The 27,085-nt window shown below is 41.7% G+C and overlaps 1 protein-coding gene across 4 annotated transcripts in view; it reads left to right on the plus strand.

Annotated features, from left to right (window-relative positions):
- The window catches only part of PRDM6 (PR/SET domain 6), a 105,026-nt gene that overhangs the window by 2,895 nt on the left and 75,046 nt on the right, over nt 1–27,085 (plus strand). For 3 of the 4 annotated variants that reach the window (XR_001742346.2, NM_001136239.4, XM_047417878.1), the window contains exon 3: nt 7,519–7,826. Coding sequence is in view for 3 of the 4 variants with exons in the window: in NM_001136239.4 (NP_001129711.1) it covers nt 7,519–7,826 (308 nt within the window). In the remaining variant the exon portion in view is untranslated. Of the gene's footprint in view, nt 1–7,091; nt 7,403–7,518; nt 7,827–27,085 lie in introns of those variants that run through there. The other variant, XM_011543726.4, reaches the window with a different exon arrangement.

The following is a 27,085-nucleotide window of genomic DNA, read 5'->3' on the forward strand; positions in this document are numbered from 1 at the left end:
GACTTGTATTTCAGAGTTTCAGAAAGTTTTACAACATTATACTCTCCCAACAGATTTCAAAAAATACTTATCTCCTACTGAATTTCTTGAATGTGTGTTTTTGAAGCAAGTATTTTAAATTATGAAATAAAAAGATTTTTAAACTGCCTTGGAAAAGGTATGTCTTACTGCTAAGTGAAATATAGCCATTGCAGGCTGAGAATGCTTCATCAATCTTGCAATTTCACTTCTGAATTAAATATATGCTAGAGAAGTCACCAGCAGTACACCCCAAATCCCTGGCTGTGTGCTGAGCTCCTGTACTGTTTACAATGCAGTCTGGAAAATTAATACGTTTTCACCAGAGAAAACAGACTAATTCGAGAAAGAATTAGGATAGATTCCTAATTAATATATGGGTATTGAACCAGTTTATTGCCTGGGTAACTTTTTTCTCTGGTTGGAGAAAATAAATTACAATTTTATTTAAATAATTTATATTGTGTTAATCTTCTGGTATCTCCTTTTGAGCCAACTGGATTGTTTCAGTGTTTGAAGTGCAGGGGAAAAGACAGAAGGGAAAGAAAATTAGATTGTCCTATTAGAGTTACACCCCACGTTGCTCACTAATTAAAGGGCAATTGAGAAAGAAAATAGAAAGCTGAGATAGCGCTGTGTAATGCTGGGAGACGAGATCTCCCATTCTTCCAGGAACTTCTCTGGACAAGCAAGCTTAGGCACTCATTTGAAGCCATGGGATGTACTTTTACAAAGATGAAACGTGATTGAGTTTAATCTAAGTAGGGGCTTAAAACAAGTCAGAAATGCAAATAGTGGGAAACTCGTTTCCTTTGGCAGGGGAAGTTGGCATAATGGTTATTGAAAGGCTGTGAAAAACAGAAGCTTCTCCTCATTCTCGAGTTGTATGTGAGTGGAGGTGGAGTGAAAGGAAGGGTGGAGGCAGAGGGAAGCTCCTATTAATTTATCATGTATAGATTTCCCTAGTTTTTCTTTTAGTTTTTTTACCATCTCCCTCTAAAAGAATTCTGTGAAGTGACCACTTAGCATTGCTTCATTTTGTCACTTCGTACTTAAAAGGATAGGTATTGAGTTGTTTTCTCTTTTTCTCACAAGGCGAAATAAAAAGGGCGGGATGCGGGGGTGCCTCCTTACTTCTCCCTTCCCTTTAGCAAAGTAACTTTTTGCCTAGGATCAGCAATACATATCATTGCTCTGTAAGAAAAGAACTTAGGAACACTAGTTTCACCTTGAAACTTTATTGGCATCTATGGTAAATGTCACAGTGATGGGGCTTGTAGCTCTCTTTCGTTCTAAAAGATTTTAAAACAGCAGAAACTGCAAGCTACCCGGGTGAGCTTTTCCAGTATGTTCCTAACTCCGTATCAGTTTACCCTGTGACTGAAGTACAGTTTCCACCGAAGCTCTGAATGCTTTGCTGTTGCTGCTGCTGCCGCCTTCTCTTAAAAATCAAGTGGTGCCTCCTGCGATATAAATGGGGGATGGGGCCCTTCCTTCCCCGTCTAATATTACTGCCCTCATTTGCTGCTGGGCTGCCTGAAGCCATTGATTTAGTCAGGCTCCATCGGAGTGGCCTCTTCCCGGGTTCTGGGAGCTGGTGCGTTGCCTGCTCTTGAAAAGTAGAGAGAGACAGTCACAGGGCGCGCCTGGCGTTTCTGAGTAGCATCCCGGCTGTTCTCTCAGCACAGCCCATTAGTTTTTCAGGCCTTTTTTGTAAAGATGTGCTTCCCTAGGACCTGGGAGGGAGGCGGGAACTGAGCCACTTTGGGTGTCTCGGGGGAGAGTTGGACCACTTTGCAAATTCCCCAGTTGGGGGAGGGGTCTCTGTCCCCTCCCGATTTACTGGAACCCTCCTGCGCAGGGAACAGGCTGGAAACAGCGCCGGTGTGTGCATGGGTGTGGGAGCGGGGCTTGAGGCTTCCTTGTTGGGAACACCAGGCTTTCCAAGGGTTTAGGGAGAGGGGCTGGGGAGAGAAAAGGGAGTCTGGGCCTAACACTGGTTTGTCCGGTTGCTTGCTAAGGGGTCAAGGAAAGAGACAAAGGAGGGCGAGTGTTTTCTGACCTTCCCTAATCCCTTCCCACCCAGGTGGAAAACGCAGGTCCTGTTTGGGCAACTTCGAGCCCAGTGGCACACCAGCAGGCTTTTTGTGCAACCGAGGAACATCCACTGCGCCCCTTCTGCCCTGCGCCTCCTCTGTCAAAGACCAGCGAGCGCCTTAGATTGCAGACCTGGTCCGGGTGGGAGGGAGCTTTGGCTTCAGTGCGTGGGCTTTTGTGTTTCTCTCTCTCTCTCTCTCTCTCTCTCGCGTGTGTGCAAGCCCAGCCTCATCCCATAACACACATGATTTAGCTATTTTACATCTTTCGTTATCTAGCGCCCTGAAACCGAACATACAGCCATATATTAGATTGAGGTTAGAAGAGGTGGCGACTGTTTATTCAAGGTGATAAAATGGTCCATCAGCAGTAATCTCCATCGATATGTGCCACCAGGAGATGAAGGATGAGGGGACAAGCCACAATTAATTGCCCTATAGTTTTGTAGGAGAGAGTGGAGCCAGCCCAGACCCGCTTCGATCTCCTCTCGCGGCTCCTATTCATCATCTCCGCATTGTATATGGCAGCCTCGCAGGGGCAGGGGCCGGCGAGGTTTATCTCTGCGCAATATTCTCTCACCCTCACAAACTGGCGCTCCCATTTAATTTATTAATACAGTCATCGGAAGACAAATAAGACCCACATTTTCTCCCTCCCACCTTCTTGCTCTCTTCTTTTTGTCTCTCCCTCTTGGTCCCAGGGTCAAGCCCGCAGCCAGGCAGGGCAGAGAACGCCCAGAGCTTTTGCGATTCGCGGGGAGCTTTAAACTCGCGTAGAGGGAGAGTTCCTGAGAGAATTCCCAGGAGCTGGGCCGCCCCGCAGGGTCGAGACTGAAATCAATTGGCTCCCCTTCCGGCGGCCAGGCAAACCTGCCTCGCCTCTGGATCTGCTTCTAGACCCGCTCCCGGGGCTTGGAAGACCCCTGCCGGGTAGAGGAGGAGGGCCGGGTGGGTGGCGGGGTGCAGTGGGGACGTCGGATCGTGGGTGGTGTCGGCGGCCACGCCTCATGTCAGAAGAGAGCCTTTCGTGGGCAGGAGCGGGGTGGGACCTTCAAAACTCAGCCTTCGGCGCTGAGGCCTGGGCGCCCCACCCCGCCCATCGCTCCCTTTCAGCCATCCCATCTAGCCTATAGCTCGAGAAGGCAGTGGGGGGACCGCAGGCTGGAGCCCCGGGGGCGTGAACCCCACGCGAGAAGTTCGGGCCCGGATGCTCTGCCTGCCCGCCCTCTGCCCGGCTCCCCAGCCCCCACGCCCCTCCCCGCCTAGGGCGCACGCGGCACTGCCAGCAGGCGGCACTCCCGGGTCCTAGTCGCCGGGCTGGGATCGATGGGCGCCGGCCCCTCGGGTCTCGGCCTGCGAGACTGAGGGCCGCGACCTTGGCGGCGGTAGGGGAGGATTTACAGCCGGGGTGGATAGTGGCGCCCAGGCGGGGAAGCAGGCTTTTCACCTACTCCTTGCTTTCCTATATGCAGGGCGGGTGAGAGCCAACGAAGGCGTCGGGCAGGTACTGGGGAGTGAAGATGTGATGTAGCTCTCACTCCCCACGCGCCTACACATGACTGTTGGCCTCTCCACACACCAAAAGCCCGGAAGCGTTTTATATTTCACCTTTCCTAGAACGAGAAATGAAATTCCAGAAAAGAAAACCATGGCCTGCTTTGCCGCCTTTACCTTAAAATAGATATATTGTAAAGATCTATTGCACTTTAAAGACATTGAAACAACACAGAAGGATAGGAAATGAAGAGTGAAAGTCTGCTCTTAACTGCACTTGGCCTGGCCTTCTGATGCCAGGAGGCGAACAAGTCTGTAACCTAATGACAGCACCTTCCTTTACTCAGAGACGCTTAGACAGGAGCATTGACAGATTTACTCAAGATAGAAGAGTATTTATGAATAACAATTATGAACTTGTACAAAAACTCTTCCCCTGATTTTAAGAGAAAGTATGAACATTTACTTGCTTCCTTGTTAGGAACCTAAGTAGTTGTATTATGTATTGCTTGGCTTGGAATGCTCTGTGTGTGTATATATAATATAATGACATATATTATATACATTTATACATAGTTTGGTCCTCTCATATAGCCTGCTTCTCTTTCAAACCTTTTCATGTAGGTGTTTATACTCTGCTAGAATGTTTGTCTTCTTAAGCATATTTGTCAATCCCAAGAAATGTTACTTGTTTTTAATATCCTCAAGCTACCCTGAGACTCAGACATAAGTTAGAACCCAAATGTTTCAGCTGGGGGATTTTGTGTATTAAAAAATAACATTGGAATATAACATGTATCTTGATGGCAGTTGGTCAACTTTTCTGGCAGAATATTTTGATATAGCATGAAGTGGTTCACAAATTAAGAAGACCCCTGTTGGGTGGACTAATTAAAGTTGATTGACTTTGTCTAGCCTGCTGTGGACCTAACACACAGATAGTCTTCTAGATATTGGGAGAGCCTCAGTTTTTCACTTTTAATAGTAGCATAATGCTACTATTAAGTTTTTCAACTCTTTATGGAGACAAATGAAACAATAAGTTGAAGACGGCTTTAGAGGACTTCTTGGAGAAAGGCCTTAGCCACAGTTTTATTATCATGCATTACAAATATTAGAAGTGTGCTTTTTGTCTATGGAGGTAGTGGCTGGAGTTGGTACCTATGCTGATGTCGTTGATGGGATGACACGTGTGGAGAAGCATGTTGGAAGTTGACTGTCTCTGGCACAGGCTGCTAGGGAATGAAAACTAAACACTCTTCTGACCATTTGCATCATTGAGTCAAGCAGAAAAAAAAATCAGTTAAGTAACTCCCTGGAGTGACTTATTTCTATTTCCATGGGCATATTGCCTTTGCTTATTGTCATTTGCTTTTAGCTATTTTTGCAAAGGTGCTGAAAGGCTGTCTCTGAAGTCAGACAGTAACATTCAAAATTATAGACATTATCTATGTATTTTCCTATCCAATCTCTTACTTTAATGTCCGAAAACACAAGAGTGTGGGAAAGAGAGAAACCTCTATAACTCAATCATGCTACAGCAATTTTCATGGCCCCCAAAGTTACTTCAGTGAAATATTTCAATTCAATTGAGTCATGAGTTTGAATGTTAAATTTCCCCAGCTTTCATTAGTCTTTTAAAAATCTCTGGGTTTAGAGGCCTTGCAGTCAGGCAGCCTTGACTGTGAATCCTTTCTCTGCCACTTTCTAGCTTCTGGTTCTTGGTGGAGTAGTAGTGCTTGGGAATTGCTTTATCTGCAGAATGGGAATCATGATACTTAGATAATATGCTGGTTTTTGGTTCTAGACAGGTGTCTGACACATGGTATGCACTGTAATTGTGTTTATTGTCTTTCATGTAATTCCCAAAATGTCTTGAAGTTTTTATTTTCACAATCAATAAGCTTGAGAGGGTGTGTGAAGTGTGTGTGTTTCAGAGGAGTTGACATATGGATAAGTGTGAGAATACTCCCATCCAGGCCCTGGGGTCAAAAGCAGAGTCTGGGAGAATTTTAACAATAGTTTGTGTTGCTGGCAGAGGAAGGACAGAAGAGGGCCTTTGTGCAAGGGAGGCCCAGCGGCATGGACACTTCTCTGCTTTCCGAAACAAGTTGTTGCTTTTCACTTCAGAGGTCTGGGGACATTTCTGAGAAGCTTGCAGCCCTCATTCTTCCAGCTCTCTTGGGAGGAGTAGAGGAGTAGCTGCTGACTGAGGCAAAGGTTTGGCTGGCTAGAGCCCCCTCCAGTGAGACAGGAGGCTTACATAGTCAGCCCTCCTTTGCTGTGAAGCAAATGGCAAATCGAGGGCTCCCTTACCATGCTGGGTTGCGATTAGCTGTTCCTGACACAAACGTTTCATACAGACTCACAAGTTTCTTGGGCATTTCGGTCATTTCAGCGCAGATAGGGCACATCCAGGGTGATCCAACAGGCCTGGCTGCGGCCAAGGCTGGCGGCGGCAGGTACCCGGGTGCCCCGAGGGCCACCCGCCGCCCCGCTCTGGCGCATCCATCAGTGGCCAGCTTTCACCGTGTCTGCCAGGCGGGACTCGCCAGGTGTCAGGCTCAGTGCCATAAGCCTGACACTTGCGCGGGGTCGCCGTGGCTCCTCAGGGAAGCTGGGCCAAGGAGGCTGGGTCGCGCCGGCGGGCGCCGAGGCCACCTTCTCGGGGCAGGCCATCCGCGCTGAGGCGCAGACACGGCGGCTCCTCCAGGCCCATTAATAACCCGGAGGGCGCTGCGATCCGACAGCGCAGTCGCCACAGGCTCTATTTCCCGTGGCCGCCTGCCTCCTTCCAGCCCAGTTCGAGTGGAGGGATACTGGGCGCCCACTACCGCCCGGCCCGGAGGGTGGGGGTCCCTCTCGCGCAGGCTGCTTTGGAGAGTGTCGGAGAGAGACAGCTTTATCTACAGCTTCACCCATTGTATAGCACAACAGAATCGCATTTAGCCTGGAGAACAGCCGTCGGGGCAGGAGTTGGTGCCTTCTCTAACAATTAGGCTGATCGTTAAATTTGCTATTCCTTTCTTCCGGCGTCTAGGGAGAGCGTGCACACCAAACCCTCCAGAACAGCACCCCGGTCCCCCACCCCGCCCCACCTGTCCCCGCCCTGCTTCAGTGCCTGGAGGGAGAACTGACTGGTCGCTTGAGGGACCCCATTTCGGGCGCGCCCTTGGAGTCCTGGGGCTGCGGCTCCTGCTCTACCGGGCTGCAGGCTTGCTCTGCCCCGTCCCGTGGCGTTTGGGAGGCAGTCGAGGAAGCCTCCGAGTCTCTGGGTCGAAGGAAGTGCGAATGGCACCCGCGATAGACTGGCCGTCTCCCCCACCCCGCCCCGTCTGGTGATTTTAAATCGTCTCCTGTGTAATTGTAAAAAGAGGAAAGCTGAATACCCAGACGACCAGTATAGAATCTCTTCGAGACAGCAGATTGGGCAAGAGACGGGCTTTTTTTCGCAATACAAGGATAAACACATCCTGAAACTCCAGATAGAAACCTCAGGAATGGGCGAGAGGGTCAGAAGGAACGAGAGACAGTAGGGAAGAGAGAGAGAGAGACAGAGACAGAGGGAGAGATGCAGAGAGACTGAAACGGGAGGAAGAAGCCTGGAACTGTCGGTTCCGTGGAGAGCGGACATGCTATCTGCGCCCAGATCCGAAGGCTTTTTGGGGAGCCTAGAGTCCTGGCCCGGTACCAGGCAGATCTGGGTGCGGCGAATTCCAAGGGAGCGGCGCGGGTTCTCTTCTCCTCCTCCTCTGAGTTGCTTCGGTGCCCCCAAGGCATCACCTTCCTCGAAGGTGGCTTACCCAGGCGGGCGGTGATGCTGTTGTCTCGGGAGTTTACTCAAAGATGGGCCGCTCGGGGCGGCCGGATTAACCCGCTCCCTTCCCTTCCTCCTTCTTGTCTCCCGCAGGTTGCGACATGTGCGCGGACAACCGCAACGGCGAGTGCCCTATGCATGGGCCACTGCACTCGCTGCGCCGGCTTGTGGGCACCAGCAGCGCTGCGGCCGCCGCGCCCCCGCCGGAGCTGCCGGAGTGGCTGCGGGACCTGCCTCGCGAGGTGTGCCTCTGCACCAGTACTGTGCCCGGCCTGGCCTACGGCATCTGCGCGGCGCAGAGGATCCAGCAAGGCACCTGGATTGGACCTTTCCAAGGCGTGCTTCTGCCCCCAGAGAAGGTGCAGGCAGGCGCCGTGAGGAACACGCAGCATCTCTGGGAGGTAAGTGGCCGGCTGCACAGCGCCTCCCCACCGAGCAGGAGCCTTGGCCAGCAGGGAGCCTTGGCCGGCAGGGAGCCTGGCCTTTGGCTGTGGCAACTGCGAAGAGAGCCTCCCTTGGCCCCCAGAGGGTAGCGGAGAATAGATTTCTCTGGTCCTGTAGATGCCTGGTGTCTGAAGCACCTGCAGTAAGGAGGCTGACAGAGCTGGGACTGACACAATAGCAACCCAGCCAGGGAAACAGCCTACAGGTGTCTGAAGACAGAGTCACCTTAAGCTGCCTCCATTCCAGCTGGAATGGATTTGACCGTTGGTCTCTGTGAATTTTGAGAAAAAGAGAAAACAGCTGAGGAGATGGAGCAGCGGAGGGTGGGCATTAGAATGTTTGAGCTGGGTGACCTTTATGTCCCATTCCAAGCACTTCCAGTGTGTTTCTGTGTAGTGAGCAGAAAGGAACAGAAGCATAGAGGGGAGGAAGGAGAGGCTGGCCCCTTTTCTCAGATAAAAACAATTTTGTCAAAGTTGAACGTGAGAGATCACATGTTTCACAACTTTCAAAGGGCCCAAAGTAAGCAAATTATATTGGGAATCAAAGGGCCCAAATTAAGCAAATTATATTGGGAATCAGAAATCGCAAATTCTGCTGCTTCTCTGATGAACGGAAATTATGTAATCTTCATCAATATGGAAAATCAAAACATGGGAACAGTGTGAGCACTTTGGTGTAACCCAATTGAGGGTAATACTTTAATGGCACAATCTTACCTGAAGCAATTATTTAAAAATAACCTATTTGAAAAATGTCAGCCTGAGGTTTCTCCCAAAACATCATGGTGGATTATTGAGGTTCACTTCTGAAGAGATAGATGCCTATCATTAGGTCATCCCCCTACCAATCTTAGCCACCTCCATCCATGGAAAGTTGCTTATGTAATACAAGATGACAGAAGTCATACCCTTAAACAATATGTAAATCTGACTAACTGGGCAAGTGGTATAATAAAGTAGGAATAGCTAGAAAATAAAGTTTCTTAAATGCCAGGGGTCAGGTTGACATGAACCCCTGGGCTCCATTAATGCATCGTTTCTGCAAGAGATTGCCTCTCATACTTGGCTTGCTGGCCTGTCAAAATGATCTTTTTCACTGTGAGCTGCCTTATATTCACTAAATAAAGCTCATGGGACTCATTAATCCACTCAAATTTTTGATGAGTGCCCACTCTGGCCAGCACTATATTAGGCCATGGAGATACAGTATGAAAAACAGACCTGGTATCCGGAACCCTCCTGTGACTGTTGGGGATGGGGTCCTGAGGCCTGTGTCTGCAAAGCCTCTTTTGATGGAGGAGGAGCTGAGTGTATGAGTCTACAGCCCAGCAGCCCAAAATGAGGACGTGGAAGCCAATGAACTACCTACCCTATAGTTATCTGCTGGAGTGCCCCGGCTCAAAGCATCTGGTTTGGAAACATTTTGGTTTTTGTTTCTGACTAATTAATTGTAACCTCCAATGTGGTTTAAAGTTTATAAAACACTTTTAGGTACTTCTCATGTTCCAGTAGTGTTATTAGGAACTCTAATATCATATAGTTAAAGGTCTGCCAATATTTTTCTAAGAAAATCGTACAGCAATTGTTCAATAGTACAAATTTACTCTACCTGAAAATGTTAAAACTGAACACTATTATATTGCCCTTTGATGCCTATCTATTTTTAGAGTGCCAGGGGACAAAGACATAAACATGAACAAAAATCTCATAGTTCATTGTGGGTTTTTTCCCCCCCAGAAGGCTTTGAATGATTGGGATGTTGGCAGGAGGCCACTACACATATAGACTATAACAATGCATATTAACACTGAAAACTATGAAACCTTTCTTTTCTACCTTTACTTGTACTTGATGAAGTTAAAATTTTGTTGTAGTAAAGAGACTGGGGAATTTAGTCAGTGTTTTTCTTTTTCTTGATACTTCAGTAGATATAAAGTGAATTTTATCTATTGTTCAGGGCATGTGAGTTGAGTGTGCTGGGATGGTTCTTAGAGTTGGTTCTCTGTTAGAAAAAAGACTTGCTGGGTGTATGCTTGGATGATCTACAGGATCCAACTCCTAAATTCAGGACATAATCTATTTTTTTTAATTATCTGTAACAACAGTTAGAATAAGGTACATTTGGGAATTGAAGGGATTTTAAAACTTTAGCCATACAAAATGTGTCAGTCTCCTGGGAGATCACGTGAAATGCGACTAACTGGGGCCAGGTAACTTAGTGCCAATATCCATTTGTAAAATAAAATACTTACTTTATAAAATAGGTTTCAGATTTTTATTAGCATAATGATTTTTAAGATATAGAATATGAGTTTAAAATTTTTAAGCATTATGATTTATTTTTATGAAACATGACCGTTTGAATTGTTACATTTATAATACAATATTCCAAATGTTAGATTGTTCCTTAAATTTTAGTTCTTTCTTTCAAAGCTAAATTTTCTTCTGAAATTTAAAAAAATCATCATATTATTCACATTAGAATCAGTAAGTAGAATACATTGTAGGTCTATCGGAAATGTTTGGCAATAATTGTTTAATGACTCATGTAATAATTATCCATTTCAAAAACTTATTCTTTTAGATGTCTTCCAGAATAGCAAGTCAACAAAATGTATTAAAAAAATTAAAAGCAGTTGAATCATGATTATTTTATTTTAAAAGGCAACTGTAATCATTTCTCTTCCTCACATTTTTTCAAGTCATTTGCTGATGAAGAAATGTCTTTTTATTTCAAGTTCAATACTCAGGTCCTGATGGATCTTACCAGGGTTACTTATCTTTATTTCAGTACAATAAATGGATTGCTAATCTTTTCCTGTCACTATTTCCAAGTAGATGATGGATTTTTGTTTCAGTTTACACTTCATTGTTTTTAGTATGGTTGTACTTTATTATACACATGAAGGCTTATTACAGAAACAATCAGATTCACCTTAGTTACTCCTTTTATTTAATCATTAGAAGCTCTATTTTCTTTGTAGAAAAATGACTTTTTGTTATTTAACATACATCAGCCATGGAGAGCTTGTTTGGTTTGTAAGCATGCAATCATTGTTTTAGTTAATATTTTCTTTGTGTATAATCATAGTTCTTCAAAATACAGCAATTTAAAGGAAGTTAAATATCATTTCATTATATTCAGTACATTTTGACTCTTCTGGGTATTTATGGGAAATTCCAAGAGAGTTGTTTTTTCTTTTTTTGCAATAAGCCAAGGTAATTTTTTATTTTTTATAGTTTAAGAAGATTACAAGCTAAAAGCCAAATAATTAGTCATTTATTTTTGCTAGTTTCTTTTAGAATCAGAATTTTAATGTGTTTTTTAAACAATAATAAATTCAGATACTTTAAAACAAAACATTACAAGGTGCATCAGACAATGACTTGCCTTGGTTATATATATTTATTCCAAGACTTGGATGCATGATACATTTCTAGCTATTTGGACATCATATGAAATAAAATCTTTCTCAATGTTTTCCAAAGAAAACAATCTTTCTCAGCAATTAGGTCTTATTGATGAGAATGAGATAATTTTATCCTAATGTGTTTTCCAATAAAGAAGTGAAAAGGCACATTTGATTCCAACATTTATGAAAACATTATCTCAATTATTAATGTGCCCCCTTTCTCTTGAGATAAATTAATCTAGTTGCACACGGTTTCCTCTTTCTGCTTAACATCAGAATTTAATATGACTGGACCTGAGGAATGTACCCAGTGTATACTTAAAATTCTACTGGAATAAAATACGGAAGTTTAAAATAAGGTTACAGTTTAAGATAGGCTAGAATTACTCAGGCCTTTCAACTCAGTGCCTGACTTGACAAGAAATTTTAGCAAGAATGACAAAATAAATTGCACTTATTTTCACCCTAGAAAAATTATCCTGCTAATTGAAATAATGTAGTGACTTGTTAGTAATACAGTTAAGATACTAGAAAGGGCTTTAATTTTACAGAACCTGTCTTCTCTTTGCCTGAGTAAATTTGAGTGTCTCGTTTTCATTTGCACTATGTGGAAACCTTCATTATTTTTCTTCAGAAAATCAAGGGGGATAACATAATGTGAGCCTTTTTGTGATTTGGTTTTGTGCCATAATATTTTAGATTTAATAAGAGTTTTGCTGTTAAGCAAATGGTCTATTTTTCATCATTACTGCTTAGCTTAAGTCAAAATATATTAATGAAAACCAATATTAAAAATATATTACACATTGCTAAATGTTTATATTTCAAAACCATCATAGGTAATTGGTTCTAGAAGAAAATGAATTGATTTCATATTTTAAATATATTATGTATGTTTCTATAAATGACTCAATTTCATATATACAGTACTATACCCACTTATATGTATTTAGATGTTGAAAAAATTATTTTAAATTAATCATTTTCAATTAAATTAGAATCACTTAAAAGTTGTCGCAGTGATAGTACTGTAATTATATATTCCATATTCTGCTTTATAGACTTTGGCTCATTTTGGCGTGATTCACCAAGACACTAGGGGATAGAATTATGTAGCTGTCGCAGTTATATTGAAGTAAAAATCATGTTTTTCAGCAATTTATCATTTAATATAATAGTCTGCCTGTCAGTTTGGTTTTGAATATGTCAAATTTGTGAAATTCAAATAATTTCTCCTTAAAAATAAACCATAGTAATGCTACTATTATGTTTTAAATTATGCAGAGTAACAGCTGGTGTATCTCTCTGGCTTTGCCTCATTTGATTTGAAGATGTCTTTTATAGTGGTGCCTATTTGATAGAGTGTGAGCATTTTGTAGTTTTACATAAACTGTAAAACCATCTGCCACCTCTTGGAATGGTTTCCAGCATTGTGTTAAAAGTCAAAACTTAGTACTTTAAGTTGCTTTGAAAATGTCCATTTAAAGTTCTGGTCCTTTTGGTTTATGTATCATGCTGCACAGTGCCACCCTTGGTTTTCTAAGTCCGAGAATAATTCTGCTTTAAAAAAAAATTATAACAGCCATTTGGACATTCTCACATCAGTGAGGTTTAATCCCAACATGCATGTGACACTACAGTGCTTTAGCTGCAAACACTTTATAAAGACTGATGAGTTCTGTATCCACCGGATTATTTTTCTCATTAGTTCAGTTTATCTATTTTTACAAATTGCTTCTTTTATCAATAGCATTTTCTCAATATGAAGAAAATAATTCACAAATATTTACTGGTCCATAACTGCATATTTTCTTACACCATGTAATTTTTTTTTCTTTTCCCACACTGACTTAAAAGTAAGGTATAAAAAGAGAAATCAGTATCTCAGAGGTTAGTGGGTAAATGAAACCTGCCCTCCCCAGTCACTGCCTGGCAGCAAGTGATCTGATGGAAATGTCATACCATAACACTGGTCCCAAGAAGCCTGCAGGGGAATCTTCTTATTTCACTGTGTAAATTAAAGCAGTTTTAATTTGAGAATATCTATTGTGTTACCCAGAAATCACTTACAGTTGTAGTATAATATGGATTAAAAATTGTTGTGATTGAATATGAAAAACTACACATTACTCAGCTGGGGAATATGCCTACAATATCAAAGTCCTCTTGTCTCAGAAGATGGATTTAATACACTGGTAGTATGGGAAAAACCATTTGCTATTCTAAAGAACCCTATATGTAGAACAACTATGAGCCTGCCTCCTTCGTTCTTTTTCTTTCATTCTTTTTTAGGATCGTATATACCCCAAGATTTCATTAGTTCAGACATTCCTTGTATATTTACACAGGAAATACAGACTTCGGTATAAGTACTTAGCATAAAAGTCAGAGAAGCCAGAGCAGAATATACTTTTCCTTGTAAGCATTTGCCACCTCACTCAAATAAGTTACAGAATTCCATTATCCAAATTGTTACACATGTGTGACAGAGGTTGACCTTTCGTCATGTCAATCCTTTTTGTGTAGGCCCCAGGCTCCAGCCTAATGGCTCAAACCCTGATTTACTCACTGTAATAAGGGCAGGAGGTCGAGCAATTGTCAGGCTGCCTGTTCGTACTCTTCTTGGAGCCTGGTTGAAGGCTGTTAACACAAAGCTTTTCAAAGTGAATTTACAACCAGCACCACTGACAGAGGCCAATCAGTGCACCATAAATGTCAGGTTAGTGAGATTGAGCAGTAAGTAAAGTACTGACAGCACACTATTGGCTGGAATCAATTGGCCAAGGTTTAACTGAGAAGAGCAATCTATGTGTGGCGGGCTTAGGGAAAGAGCATAGTGTGCAGCCTGGGTTTCCAGGTAGACTCCATAGATTTACTGGTTAGTGGGAGCATAAGGGTTGGGACATCACACACATTTGCTTCAGCGCATCCAGCATCATCCATGTTGATGTGATGCACAATCCGGGAGTTCAGTGTGGCCGGGCCTCCTGACTCTGAGGCTTGGTGGTAAAAAATGGCGCAGCATTAGACAAAAAAGAGAGAGAGAGGAAAACTGTTACAGTACGAGGCTGTCAGAACTGGGGGACACATCCAGTGCATTACAGTTCAATGACAGGTAATTTGTTCAAATTCCAAAACTGTAACAGGGATTTCCACAAAGATACAGACACAAATAAGCTTGCTCTTTTGCTCTTCCAAAGGCTCAGCAGTGTGAAACTTTCATGGAAGTCACTAATGCGTGATTATGGGTTGAGGGTCTGAATATCCATGAGATGTGGTTTCCCCACCAGACGGAATGTTTTTATCATTTTGTGTAATGACAGCCTGGACAACAATTCATTTAGCTTTGAAGGCATCAGCATGAAAACAGAGGAATCCATTAAAATGCTGTATGCAAGGATTTATAAATTAGGCAATTTCCTTGATTATTGCAATCATTTACAAAATTGATCATTCCAGTGTGGTATAGACAGATTTCAGCAATGATCATTGACAACAAGCACATTCCCTGACATCTATAGCTGCTGGTCACTAAACCAGGTTACTCTTCCCCCCACCCTGCTGTTCTTGGTCTCAAGGTCAGGTGGACTTTTCAAGGAATCTTACAATTATGAAATTTCATTTGTCTTCAGAGGAGACCCACCTAGGCTGTGAGAGCAGGTGCAGATTGTTTTAAAGGTTACATCATTGTTTTTGGAGTTGAATTGTACTTTTGGGGGAGGGTTTTGATCATACGTATATGCTTCAAATCAGTAGCACAGATTTTGATATGATGCCAATTTAAAAGGAAATAATTTTTGCAAATTGCACCTGTAAATATTTGTTTGATTGCAGATCTAAAATTCAATAATGTATTTATTTTTGTTGGTATTTAGAATTCTAATTATCCAACAGATATATTGTGGAATCACTGGATTTTAGGTCAATTAATTTTAGAAGGCCTAATACATTGTTACAAGTGTGAAATGCTCAAAATGCTGCAGGTTTTCCTATATAAGAACATACACACATCAAGTTCACTTGGTGCTTTATCACTAGCCACAAACCACAGAGTTGCTTTTATTCCTGAAATATCAGAAATGGGCATGCCACATGAATCTGCAGGGCTCTTTCCAATGAAAGCTAGCCATGTGGTTTATGCTTAGTACAAAGTAACTGACTTTGAGACATTTGTTTCTAATCATCCTTTTGTTTTCAGTCATCCTTTTCTCCCTTTAAAACTTTAACACAAACTGGGACTTGTAAAATAATAACACTTTAGAAAATTGTTTAACACAGTGTTGGGAATACAAACAATTTTTGTTCTGATTTTTGTCCTGTTTGTGAATACATAGTAATTTGATCTCAAGGTAGTTCTTTGTTTAAAAGGGGAAATGTTGTATTTCAGGAAGTCCAGTGGTTTGGTGGCACCTTGCCTTTATTTGCTAATGTTGCCTAAGTCAGAAGTTCATTTTCATTTTTAGTTAGTTGTAAAACTGACTACTTAGAAATTTAGTAAAAACGTAATATTTTCAGTCAGTGTCTTGATATTATCTCCTCATTTTTAATTAATTTTTTTTCACAGCATTTCTGGTTTCTGTTAAGACTTAAAAGCTGCGTGGTTAGCTCTGACTTGGGTGAACTGTGATGAGGCACTCAGTATAACACATGCTTTTCCCAGTGCCTCTGTACATTTATTTAGTAAACCAAAATCTATAGCATGCAATTGTGAAATAATGATATGGGATTTGGCCCATTTTATTAAAATGAGCAGTGTTTTTCACTCTCTGTGGTCATTTTAAATTAAAGCTGCCTCAGATAATGAAGTATCTTCTATAGAAACATCCAGTGTAATCTAATTCAGTAGAAACGTCTTAAGTGCTTTTTAATTGGAATCAAATTAAATGTAGTCAAGTCATGTTTTCAATGTCTTGTAAAGCACCAAGAGCTAAATATTGTTAGCACACCTGGAAATATTAATGTTTATCACAAAAGAACAGCATTAAATTATGAGATATCCATGTATACTTCAAAATGGTAGATAGCTCCTAAACAAATTCAAGGTTAGAATACAATGCTTTTGGAACCTGTTGTGTTTGTCCCAAACTAATATTAAAATTTATTTATGATATTAAAATACACAAATAGTTTCTGGGGATAAGAGTCCTGAAAAATATTGGGCTACTAAGGAAAGCACTTAATTTCAATTTGTTGCAATTAATTGCAGAGTAAAATTTGACCCAGATAATCCACAAAGTGGAAAATCTCAAAATTAAGCTTAAAAAGCGGAAATTAATTTTTATATTACAAATAATGTGCTCATTGGAAAGTCGAACTATGTAAGGGTATAAAGCAGTGGTAACCATTGTTGATGGTTTTCATAATGGGTTTTTGAGACATGATTATATAATATATAGATTTATTTCATTGAGTCACAGTTTTGGTAAAAGATATTTGCACTATCTCTTTGATACTGCAAAACATCTTGGAAATTGCAACCAATGGCACTGTTTTCACAGGGTTCCAGTAAATGTTTAAATTTGGCTCACCCATGAATAGATTTTCATTTTGTCTAGTCTTATCCTCTCCACTCTGTATTCTCCTGGTGGAAAATTTTATTAACAGCCTGCAGACCCTTCTGATATTATAAAAACACTTCTACCAATATCTTCATATATTTTATAGCACGTGTCTTTAATAAAAACAAAGCGTTTCTGGGGTCTATGAGGAGATTATAATGGTCTCCAGGAAAGGAAGGAGAAAATTTCTGTTTCCTTTTTATACATGAAAGTGTTAACAAAAAAAGATCAAGTATCTTTGAAATGCTTTTTAAGGTAGGGAGACATTAATTTATCCAGTTGTGGTGAGACATTAGTGAAACAACTTAATTTCTTTATACCTCTTTTTTCCCCACATGTGAAGGAGAGTAATATTGATGGCTATGTAAATTACAGAGAAAATATTGATGACTTTTGTGTAGTAATTGAGATTTTCCCCCGTTTTCAGTTCGATTTTAATGGTAAATTTTGTCTCTAGTGGACTCTGCACATAGATATAAAGAGTATCATTATTTGATAAAACAAAAGATTGTATGTATTAATGGTAGACCATGATACATCGTTTGGATTTAATTACTTACTAAAAACTCAAGTTTAAGTAATATTTCAGTGTAAATTTACTTAGCAATGCTTACAAATAAAAAACAATTATGTACTAAAGGGATACCATGCAACATGGATGTTAAAAAAAACCCCATTGGATGGCTCTCATTTTTAAAACTGTATTTTTAATGGAGGGCAACAAGGATGACTACAAATGTTGGCACATTTATATTTCCTAAATGTACCTGATTTCAGTAAGCAAAATGCTAGCTGAAAATCCTCACAACAAAGAACCAACTTGCAAGATGAAAATGCGAGAATTACTCAGTAACATCCAGAAAAATCATAAGGAAGCCCTAACATGTGAAGCCTTTTTGACCACAGACCTCAAATCAGGAGCAATTCATTAGGTAGGTTTGACACTGGATATTGAATTCTGAATAGAAGATCATCTCAGTGTCCAGAGTATTGTGACCTGTCCATAAATATTAAATGACAACAAATCAACATAGTGGCATATTTGGCACTGTCTGTAAAAATGTGTGTGCAGCCATATGTGTACTTGTGAATACAGACATAACAGTATATCATGCAAATTCTGAATATATGTCACTGTTGACCCTGTGAAAAGCAAGAATTCCAAGTGACACTCTGCAGTTAGAAATTTTAGATGAAAAAATAAACATAATTGCCAAAACATGTCATAAAGAACAAAAATTTTGACTAAAATTAATATTTTTCCTGATATATATTTATTTCATATTAATCATTTCCTTTTTTTTTTTTTTTTTGAGATGGAGTCTTGCTGGAGTGCAGTGGCACAATCCCGGCTCACTGCAACGTCCACCTCCCAGGTTCAAATGATTCTCCTTCCTCAGCCTCCCGAGTAGCTGGGATTACAGGCAGCTGCCACCACGCCTGGTTAATTTTTGTGTATTTAGTAGAGATGGGGTTTCACCATGTGGGCCAGGCGGGTTTCAAATTCCTGACCTTCAGTGATCCACGAGCCTCCCAAAGTGTGGGATTACAGGCGTGAGCCACTGCACCCGGCCTACTTTTTTTTTTTTTCTTTTTTTTTTTTTTTTGAGATGGAGTTTCACTCTTGTTGCCCAGGCTGGAGTGTAATGGCACAGTCTTGGCTCACCGCAACCTCCGCCTCCCGGGTTCAAGCTATTCTCCTGCCTCAGCTCCTGAGTAGCTGGGATTACAGGCATGCGCTACTAGGCCCAGCTTATTCTGTATTTTTAGTAGAGACTGGGTTTCTCCATGTTGGTCAGGATGGTCTCGAACTCCCGACCTCAGTGATCTGCCCGCCTCGGCTTCCCAAAGTGCTGGGATTTCAGGTGTGAGCCACCACGTCCGGCAGTTTTTACTTTTATGGCAACCTAAGCAGGGGTGATACTCAAACTATGTCACGACCAATCCAGGTTAGTCCCTGAGCCTCACATAATCCTAGATTCCCACAGTAATATCTGTGCCCCATGATCTGCATATCAGCTCTGAATCTAGGATAGCTGGCTGAACTTCAGCAAAGCTATTCAACAAATTAACAGTAATAATAATAATATATATTATGTGTAGGGTTTCAGATATGCAAGATGAAAACATTCTGGAGATTGGTTGCATAACGATGTGAATAGACTTAACAGTACTAAACTGTACATTTAAAAATAGTTACAATGGTAAGTTTTGTGTTAGGTATATTTATTTTGCCATAATTTAAAAAAATCTATGTTTTCAATGACTTTCCTGCAGCTCAGTAGGTCTCAACCTCTAGCAGGGAGTCAAGCATAGTGCAGTCTGGGGACCTGCCCCTAAATGATTTGGACTCAGTGGTCCTGAATTGGGGGTCAGGAATCTACTTTGTTAACAAATGTCCCAGGCAGTCCTGAAACTATCCTTAAGAAACAAAACGCCGGCAGGGCGCGGTGGCTCACGTCTGTAATCCCAACACTTTGGGAGGCCGAGGCGGGCGGATCACGAGGTCAGGAGATCGAGACCATCCTAGCTAACACGGTGAAACCCCGTCTTTACTAAAAATACAAAAAATTGTCCGGGTGTGGTGACGGGCGCCTGTAGTCCCAGCTACTCGGGAGCCTGAGGCAGGAGAATGGCGTGAACCCGGGGGGCGGAGCTTGCAGTGATCCAAGATTGCACCGCTGCGTTCCAGCAGGGGCGACAGAGCGAGAAAACAAAACAAAACAAAACAAAAAAAAAACAAAATGCCAGTCTCGTCCTTTCTCTTCCTTGCCCCTTGTGGTTGTTTGCCCCGCTTCCTGCCTCTTCCCTTGTCTTTGCTACTCTTGAGCTCACCTGGCCTCTCTTCTGCTTCAGGTCCACAGTTGGTTTAGTTCTGTTAATAATCCTGTGTTAATTCCAGTCTCTACCTTGCCTTCGCCCCTGCTACATCTTGGCTAATCTCCTGTGGACATTTCCAATCTCCTCCCTTATCACCTCTCCCACCTCCCCAGATATAGATAGATGATAGATGTACATATTAAAGAACTACTAACAGACAGCAAAATGAACTCCCATGACTTCCATCTTTCTGTATTTCAGAACTCCGCCTGGCTAAGCATAAGGAGGCAGCCAAAAGGGCAGAAAACACTGCGTGTAAACTGCTGTGTGTAATTAGCTCCTAAGTAATCAGGGTGTACTTCCAGAGGAAGTGGCCCACTGGAAGGTGTTTGGCAGTGTACAAAGGGCCTGGGTTCTAGCTCTCACTGGGTGTGAGCTATGTGACCACCTGCAGCACACCTTAAGTCCCTAAGCTCTTAGCAGTGCTGCATCCAGCGACACTGGCCTTTCCACTTCTCCTGCCAGCCCCTTCAGTGCAGTCCTATATCATATGGAGAACCCATATGTTCCTTGCATGACATTTGTGATTTGCAGTCTGTTAATTTTCCATATGCCAGCTTTATCTGCTAATTTGCTGATCTTTTTCCCTCCTCGGCTTCCCATTGCTGCTGTTGATGGAAGTCATCCGAGCATGTAGCCTGTTTTCTGTTCTTTCTCACACCCGGAGAGCTCACCTGTTCTTCTTGTTTCAATTGCTCCCCAAAAGCGATGCTCTCAGATTCAGTATCCCGCACTGATCTGTCTTAAATCTTATATCCTTAGTTGTGAACATCTCCATCTGAAAGTCCTGACATTGTTTCAAACTGAGTTCACTAACTGCTGGCACTCACATCTCCCCTAATCTTTATCCTTATCTTTAATTTATGGTGCTCTCTTAGTCCTTTTTAACCTGTGAACCCAACATTTTAGAGTTACTCTAATGGCTCTTTTTTTTTTTTTTTTTTTTTTTTTTGCTATGCTGTATTCTTCTTTTATTTCATGTGTGCAAATTTAAATTTATGAAGTCAATCATTAGTGCCACAACTATAGCCTGACAATTTAAAATTTGGTTCACTTTTATAGTAAACAACATCTCAATCTAATGTTTAGACATTTAGCTGATTGTTAAACATTAGCTAAAATGGATCTTTTCCTGAAACAGTGTTGCCAGGTTTTAAAATATTAATAGACATTATGTTGTACACTTTTGAATTAACATAAAAATTGAAGGACGTTAGTGCAGAAAGTTCTCATATCCCTTCCCCACTAGTTTTTTTTCTTTTAATCACATCTTCCATTGGTGTGGTACATTTGTTACAATGACTGAACCAATACTGATGCATTACTATGAAGTAAAGTCCAGCGTTTACATTATGGTTCACCCTGGTGTTGTACAGTCTATGGATTTTGACAAACTCATAATGTCATTTATCACCATGTAAAAGCTTTTTTTAAATGTTTATATTCCCAGCAGCCAAGAATGCCTAGCATACATAGAGCATTTAAAAATTCTCTTTATCTGATTGCAATAACGAGAGCTAACATACTTAAGCTGAGACTATCTGCCAGGCACTCTGCTAAGAGCTTTGCAGGGGTTATTTTAATTTATTCTCACAATGACACAATAAGGTAAAGACTACTGTACTCATTTTTCAGATGAAGAGCCTTGTTAGATGTAGGCACTGAGAGCCTTTTTTAGATGAAGGCAGGTAAGTAACTTGCCCAAGGCCGTATGTAGTAAAGGCAGGATTTCCATGTAGGTGTTGTGGACTGTAGAGTTCTTGCTCTTCACCGGTCTGCTCTTTGCTTTCTGCCCCTTCTCACTATCTGGCCTGTACTCCCATTAAATTACAGGGCCTCAGCCTCTGCCACAGGCCTCTTTATTCAGCTGACCCTGGCCTCTGGACCCGGAGGTGAGCTTTCTTTTCTAGGTGGACACTGCACTGGTTTTTCAGACAGAGCAGTTATAGCTTCACAGAGACCCCATGGCTCAGGCCCTTGACATGGTTAGCCTACCTTGTGTTCCAGGGCCATGGGCTTCATATTTATTATCCTAGAAAGTTTAAACTCAGCATTCAGAGAAACACATTTATGGAGAACCTACCATGCATGAGGCATTGTACAGGTCACAAGGATGGAAAATACCAACTCTGGCTTTCAAAGATAGTAAAGTAGTAGAGGATCATGAGTAACTCCAGTTGGGAGCAGTGTGCAAAAAGTGCTTTTGAGGTGCACAGAGGAGGCAGAGGTGACTTCCCGCCAGAAAGATTAGGGAAGGAGGGAGAGTTTGACCTGGAGAACATAGATGGCTAATTCATGGAGTCAAGGATCTGAAGGAAAGATGCCCCTGGGAGAGGGTCAGCCTTTCATTGGTGGGGCTCCACTGTCTTTCCAAGCCCAGGTCTGCTTCCTCTGTCAGCAACTTCATGCAAACTAATAGAAGCACTTCTGTTTCTTTACCAATGTCTCGCTAATTTTCACTGCTGTGATTTTGCCTGTGCTATTTATTTACCCACAAGACTCTCTTCTTATTCTGGTCAACCCATCTCTTTTACTATTTTAGAGTCACATCTCCCAAGAATTCCTTCCAGGCTAATCCCAGGTCTTCACCACCCTTTCCACACTCACTTTCCTTCCAGCATCCCCTTGAGACTTGTTGAGGTTTTGCTTTCTCTCCCGATATTACTTGTAGCCTCAGTCAGTTTGGTAAGCTTATTTGGGAAATAGTTCTGCTAAAAAATTAATTTTTTTAAATGTAGAATTCAACATTGACTGGAGGTCCTTCATTTTTGTATGCTAAATTTGATCATTCAGGTTTAAGATTAAGGTAACAGTTGAGGACAGACACCTGATAGAAAAATGAATGACTCTTGTGACTGGGGAGGCCAGGGTGCTGAAAGCCTGGTGTTTTCAGAGGAGCATGGTGGGAAATAAGGTTATGGTAGTTGGGGTCAGATAAATTAGACTGTGGGAAAGACTTCATTTTATTCCAAGTGAAATAGATTTTGAGTGGCAGTAGTAGCATGAGCTGACTTATGTTTTCAAAGGACCACTCTGGATGCTTGGTGGAGAACAGTCTGTAGTGGAACAGGGGTGGATGTTGTTAGGAGACACTCAGAGGACAGGACGTGGCTGGAGAAATAAATTAGGAGTTGTAAGTGCATAGCTGTTGTTTACATCCAGAAGACTGCTTGAGGTCTGCTTGGGTGAGGGTATGCAGAGCTTTGACTAGAGGAGGTGTAAGACATCTGTAGTTCTGTAAACCTGTGTGAGTCAGATCTGCAAGTCAAATGTGGGCTAATTACCATGTAGCAGGTGTAGTTGTGGATGCCTCATCTCATTCCCCTCCCCTGACAATAAAGGGAAGAGCCTTACGTTTGCCTTCATGGTTGCTGTGACTCAGTAGTGTAGTGACGTTGGAATGATGCTGCCACTCCTAAATGTGTTGCATCTGTGAACCATGGGGCCTTTATACTTCCCAACTGAGGCCATACCAGAATCCTTCTCCAAGGAAAGGGATGCCTAATCTTACATACCTAAATGTTGTACTGAAAATCTCTTTTACCTCCTCTACTCATAGTGAGCCATGCTAGCCACACATGGGTGCAGATACACATGGGCACACGTTCACACGCACACACTGTTATCAAAATTTTTGCAGTATTTTTCCTCACTTTAATTATGTTTTATCATTACAAGGGCTGAAAATATTTATAAAATGGAATTTTGAAAGTGTAGAAAAATATTTTAAAAAGAAAAAAACAAGAAAAACAAATTTGGTGTAATTCTTATTGCAGTTAGTATTTTCTTTAAATTCATAGATGAAAGCATGCTGCTTGTCCTCATCATAAAACCATGATAAGATTTCCCCATATTGAAAATCTTTGTGAACATAATTTCTATTGACTCCATACTCTTAATATGATTGAATCCAATTGCTCAACATTTGTGTTGGTTCTTTCCTCCTCCCTCTTCTCTTCCCTTTCTCCCTTTCTTTCTTCTCTCCTCCTTTCCCTGATCCCTCTCTCCTCATTTTGAAAATATTACTAATCATTTGTTATCCTGAGCATATTGGATCATGCTTGCCAAAATACCTGCAGGAAAAGACACAGAGGAACTCCCTCTATACTAACAACAATAATAGTAGGAATAACAGTGATCATTTTTGTTGATCACTTTTTAATTTACAAGAGATTTCATCACAACTGGCTGACTGTTTTGTTGCTGTGCCCTCTCAAATGCAGGGAGTGCTCCGTGCTGCCTGGTGTGAGTGAGATAGGGAAGCTGTGGATCCCGGAGGCTGCTTGCTCAGTTCCTCTGAAGGTCGGGTGGAGCTGGCTCTTTTGACCCACATGCTCCAGGGGAGCTTTCCATCTGTCCAAATGTTAGCCTGGAACTAAACGCCTCCACACAGTGATGAAATCCCTAACAAATGTAGTGACAACACTGAACATAAGGCCTTAATTTTTTTCAAATTGCTTGCATTTACAGTTAATTCAGTTTGAATTATAAGTCACCTCCATGTGAATGACTCATGCACTCATTATTAGGAGCTTTGCATTCTAAAATGTACAAAACAGAGAGGAGCTGGTTTGCAAACTCGGCATCACCAAGGTAATATTAAACTAGTTTCAAACTAAGAAAGTGGTTTCCTGTCATTGCACATCTTGTATTCCAGATCCAGAGTTATCAAAGAAAACCGTCATATCTTTTAAGAACACCTTTGGATCACTGTATACAGTAGTTATTGGAGGGGATATGTATGGAAATCAAACTCAATTATGTAGCATAAGTGAAAAAAAAAATTATTTTTCTGTTACAAGACAATTTGCTTTAGGCCAGTTGAAAACCTTTTCCAAGTCCAGACCTGTTGGGACCTAGAGGGACGGTCAGGCTAGGCTTTGTAAGTTGTGATGGAAGTGAAAAAATGACTTCAAAAGCAAATAATTTTAACACTGTATAATAGACTGGGGAGAAATAGTAAGGAAATGCCCAGAAAACAACCATATAAATAGATAATTGCTGAAATATTTGGATAATTTCAAGAAAAAGTGCAGGCTAAATTTTTGGACAGTGAAATCAGCTTTCCATAATAACTCTGTCTCCCAGCCAGTAATTTCCTTGTTCTCCCTAATTTACTTCACTTCTCTGTAGCTGGAAAATTCCTTTGTTTTGTACCCTAATAAGCTGGCTCTGCAGCCACTAAGTTCTATTGTGAGATTTTGTCTTGCCTCCTGCTTTTATGCACATAACTGGTCCCTGCCAGGGAGCTCTGGAGCCCCCAAATAGCTTTAAGCTTTCTAATGACTTTTCCCAGGGGTCCTCCAGGACTGCCCGGCAACCCAACAGTTCATTTAAATTTGGACCCAAGTCCAGAGTAACTCTAGGGTTATGTAATTTTAACAGTTTTAGAGCTCCTAGTAAGGGGGTAGGGGTGGGGCCTGGGGAAAAAGGCAATAAACATACCCATACCCAGGTTATCTCTACTAGGGAGCTTATGGCTAAAGTAGTCACAACTCGGATTGTCCTGCCCTAGAAGGCAGTGGGTCATTTGAGGTACCTTTGGTTTTTGGCATTTTTTTTTCCTCTGGCCAAGGCAGTGGCTTCTACTTCCGAAAACTCTGTTTAGTGGCCTGGCATGATGGAAATTTTCATAATCTTGACTGGATCACAGCAAGTTTGTGTCTGAAAAGTTTAAAAATGGGGACACATGAGAAAGGACTAGATAACCAGCAGGAAGGAAGATGGGTTTCTTTTTGGTGTCCCCATCACCTTTCCTGTTTGGTTAGAGTCACTGATGGATTTTCCTCAGATTCGTCCTGCTGGTGTAAGAACTCTAAAGCTAAAGTTCTGTTTAATCTTGCCAAAGTTGCCAGAGCAAAGAGCAGCCACGGAGTGTGTCACGTTGGGATGAATGTGAAGGCCTAAACAGCATTTGCTCATTTGCTTTGCATGTGCAGTGACTATCATACCAAGAGCTGGACCAGAAATTGTGGATTATGTAAAGTGCTAATGGGCGCAGTTCCGATTTTGGAGGAGCTTACAATGTGATAGGGGTGAGCCATTCATTCAATTATTCAACATATATTTGATAAGCTTCTCAATGTGCCAGGCACTTTAAAGGGTTGTCTGAAGATAGCATTGTCTTAGAAAGACACAGTCCATGACTAGATGGAGCTTACAGTCTGTGAGGGAGACATTGGATACCTGAGGAAGATGTTTAAGTGAACCTGGGCACCTGATTTTGAAAATCCAGAGGGATAACTGAGGAGATGAATGAAGAGCCAGTTGGGGAGGTGAGTCAACTCAAGCCTCCTCTGGATGTTAGTTTGCAATCAGGTTTTTCAGGATTAGTGTATGTGGAATAGTAATCATGAAGAGAGATGGAATTCAAGTTGGGATAAATGGCAAATGCAAAAGCCCAGAGGAGGAATGAGCAAGTTGTTTTGTTTAGAAGGTTGACTTGGAGTGTGGCTGTCTCTCAATAGGCTGATATTAAGAAATAAGGCTGATAAATTGGAGTCGCATCAGTGAACTTCTTGAAAACTAGGTAGAGAGTTGCGGTTTGAGATGCAAATAGGAAACTACAACATAATCTTTAGGAGGAAAACTTGAGGAGGGCAGCTTGCAAATGAAGAGAACATGGGTTTGACTCAACAAGTAAGGTAAAACTAGGTTTTGCAAGTTTCACCACCATCCAAGCTCTCCCCTTCATTTGGGCTGATAAAGATTACGATAAGTCTGGGGACATCCCTGAACCCTTGTGAATTTCAATGACCAAAGCACAGACTGTCTTACACATGAGCTGTCAGTCAGGGTGCACAGCACTTTTAGGGCACTTGAGTGTTGTAATGTCTTACATTTGGTAGCATTCTAAGTAGAAGGACAAGAAGTAGAGAGCAAACAAGTATGGGTAGAATGGTGCTGGAATGGGGAAGAGGAGTCTAAGGCAGCAATTTTCTGCCCTAGAATTTTTTTTCTTTTCTTTCCTTTTCTGATGGTGATTGTGGTAACATCACGCACAGGCACAGGTATATGACCTTCTGTTGGAACAAAAGAGGAGTGTCTTAGGTTTTGAGACAAATGAATGCATCTTGCTAGATTTGGGAGCTAAGTATCTTGGCTCTTATGCATCCTTCCACAAATGGCACTGAGTTGTGTTCAAAAATGGAGGAAACAAACAAAAAACAAAGAAGACCCCACCTGTGTAGGGGCTTGGAGTTCAAAGATAGGGGTGATGGTGTTCATATGATAGTAGCAGAAAAAGTTGAATAATGCACTGGAGTGACTGATGTGTAGTAGGTAGCATTAACTGTTACTATCTCCTACCCACAAATAAACAAACAAGAAAAAAACTAGCCTAAACCGACATCCAAACTAATAA

The sequence above is a fragment of the Homo sapiens genome, chromosome 5 (assembly GCF_000001405.40).
Source record: "Homo sapiens chromosome 5, GRCh38.p14 Primary Assembly".
NCBI lineage: Eukaryota > Metazoa > Chordata > Mammalia > Primates > Hominidae > Homo > Homo sapiens.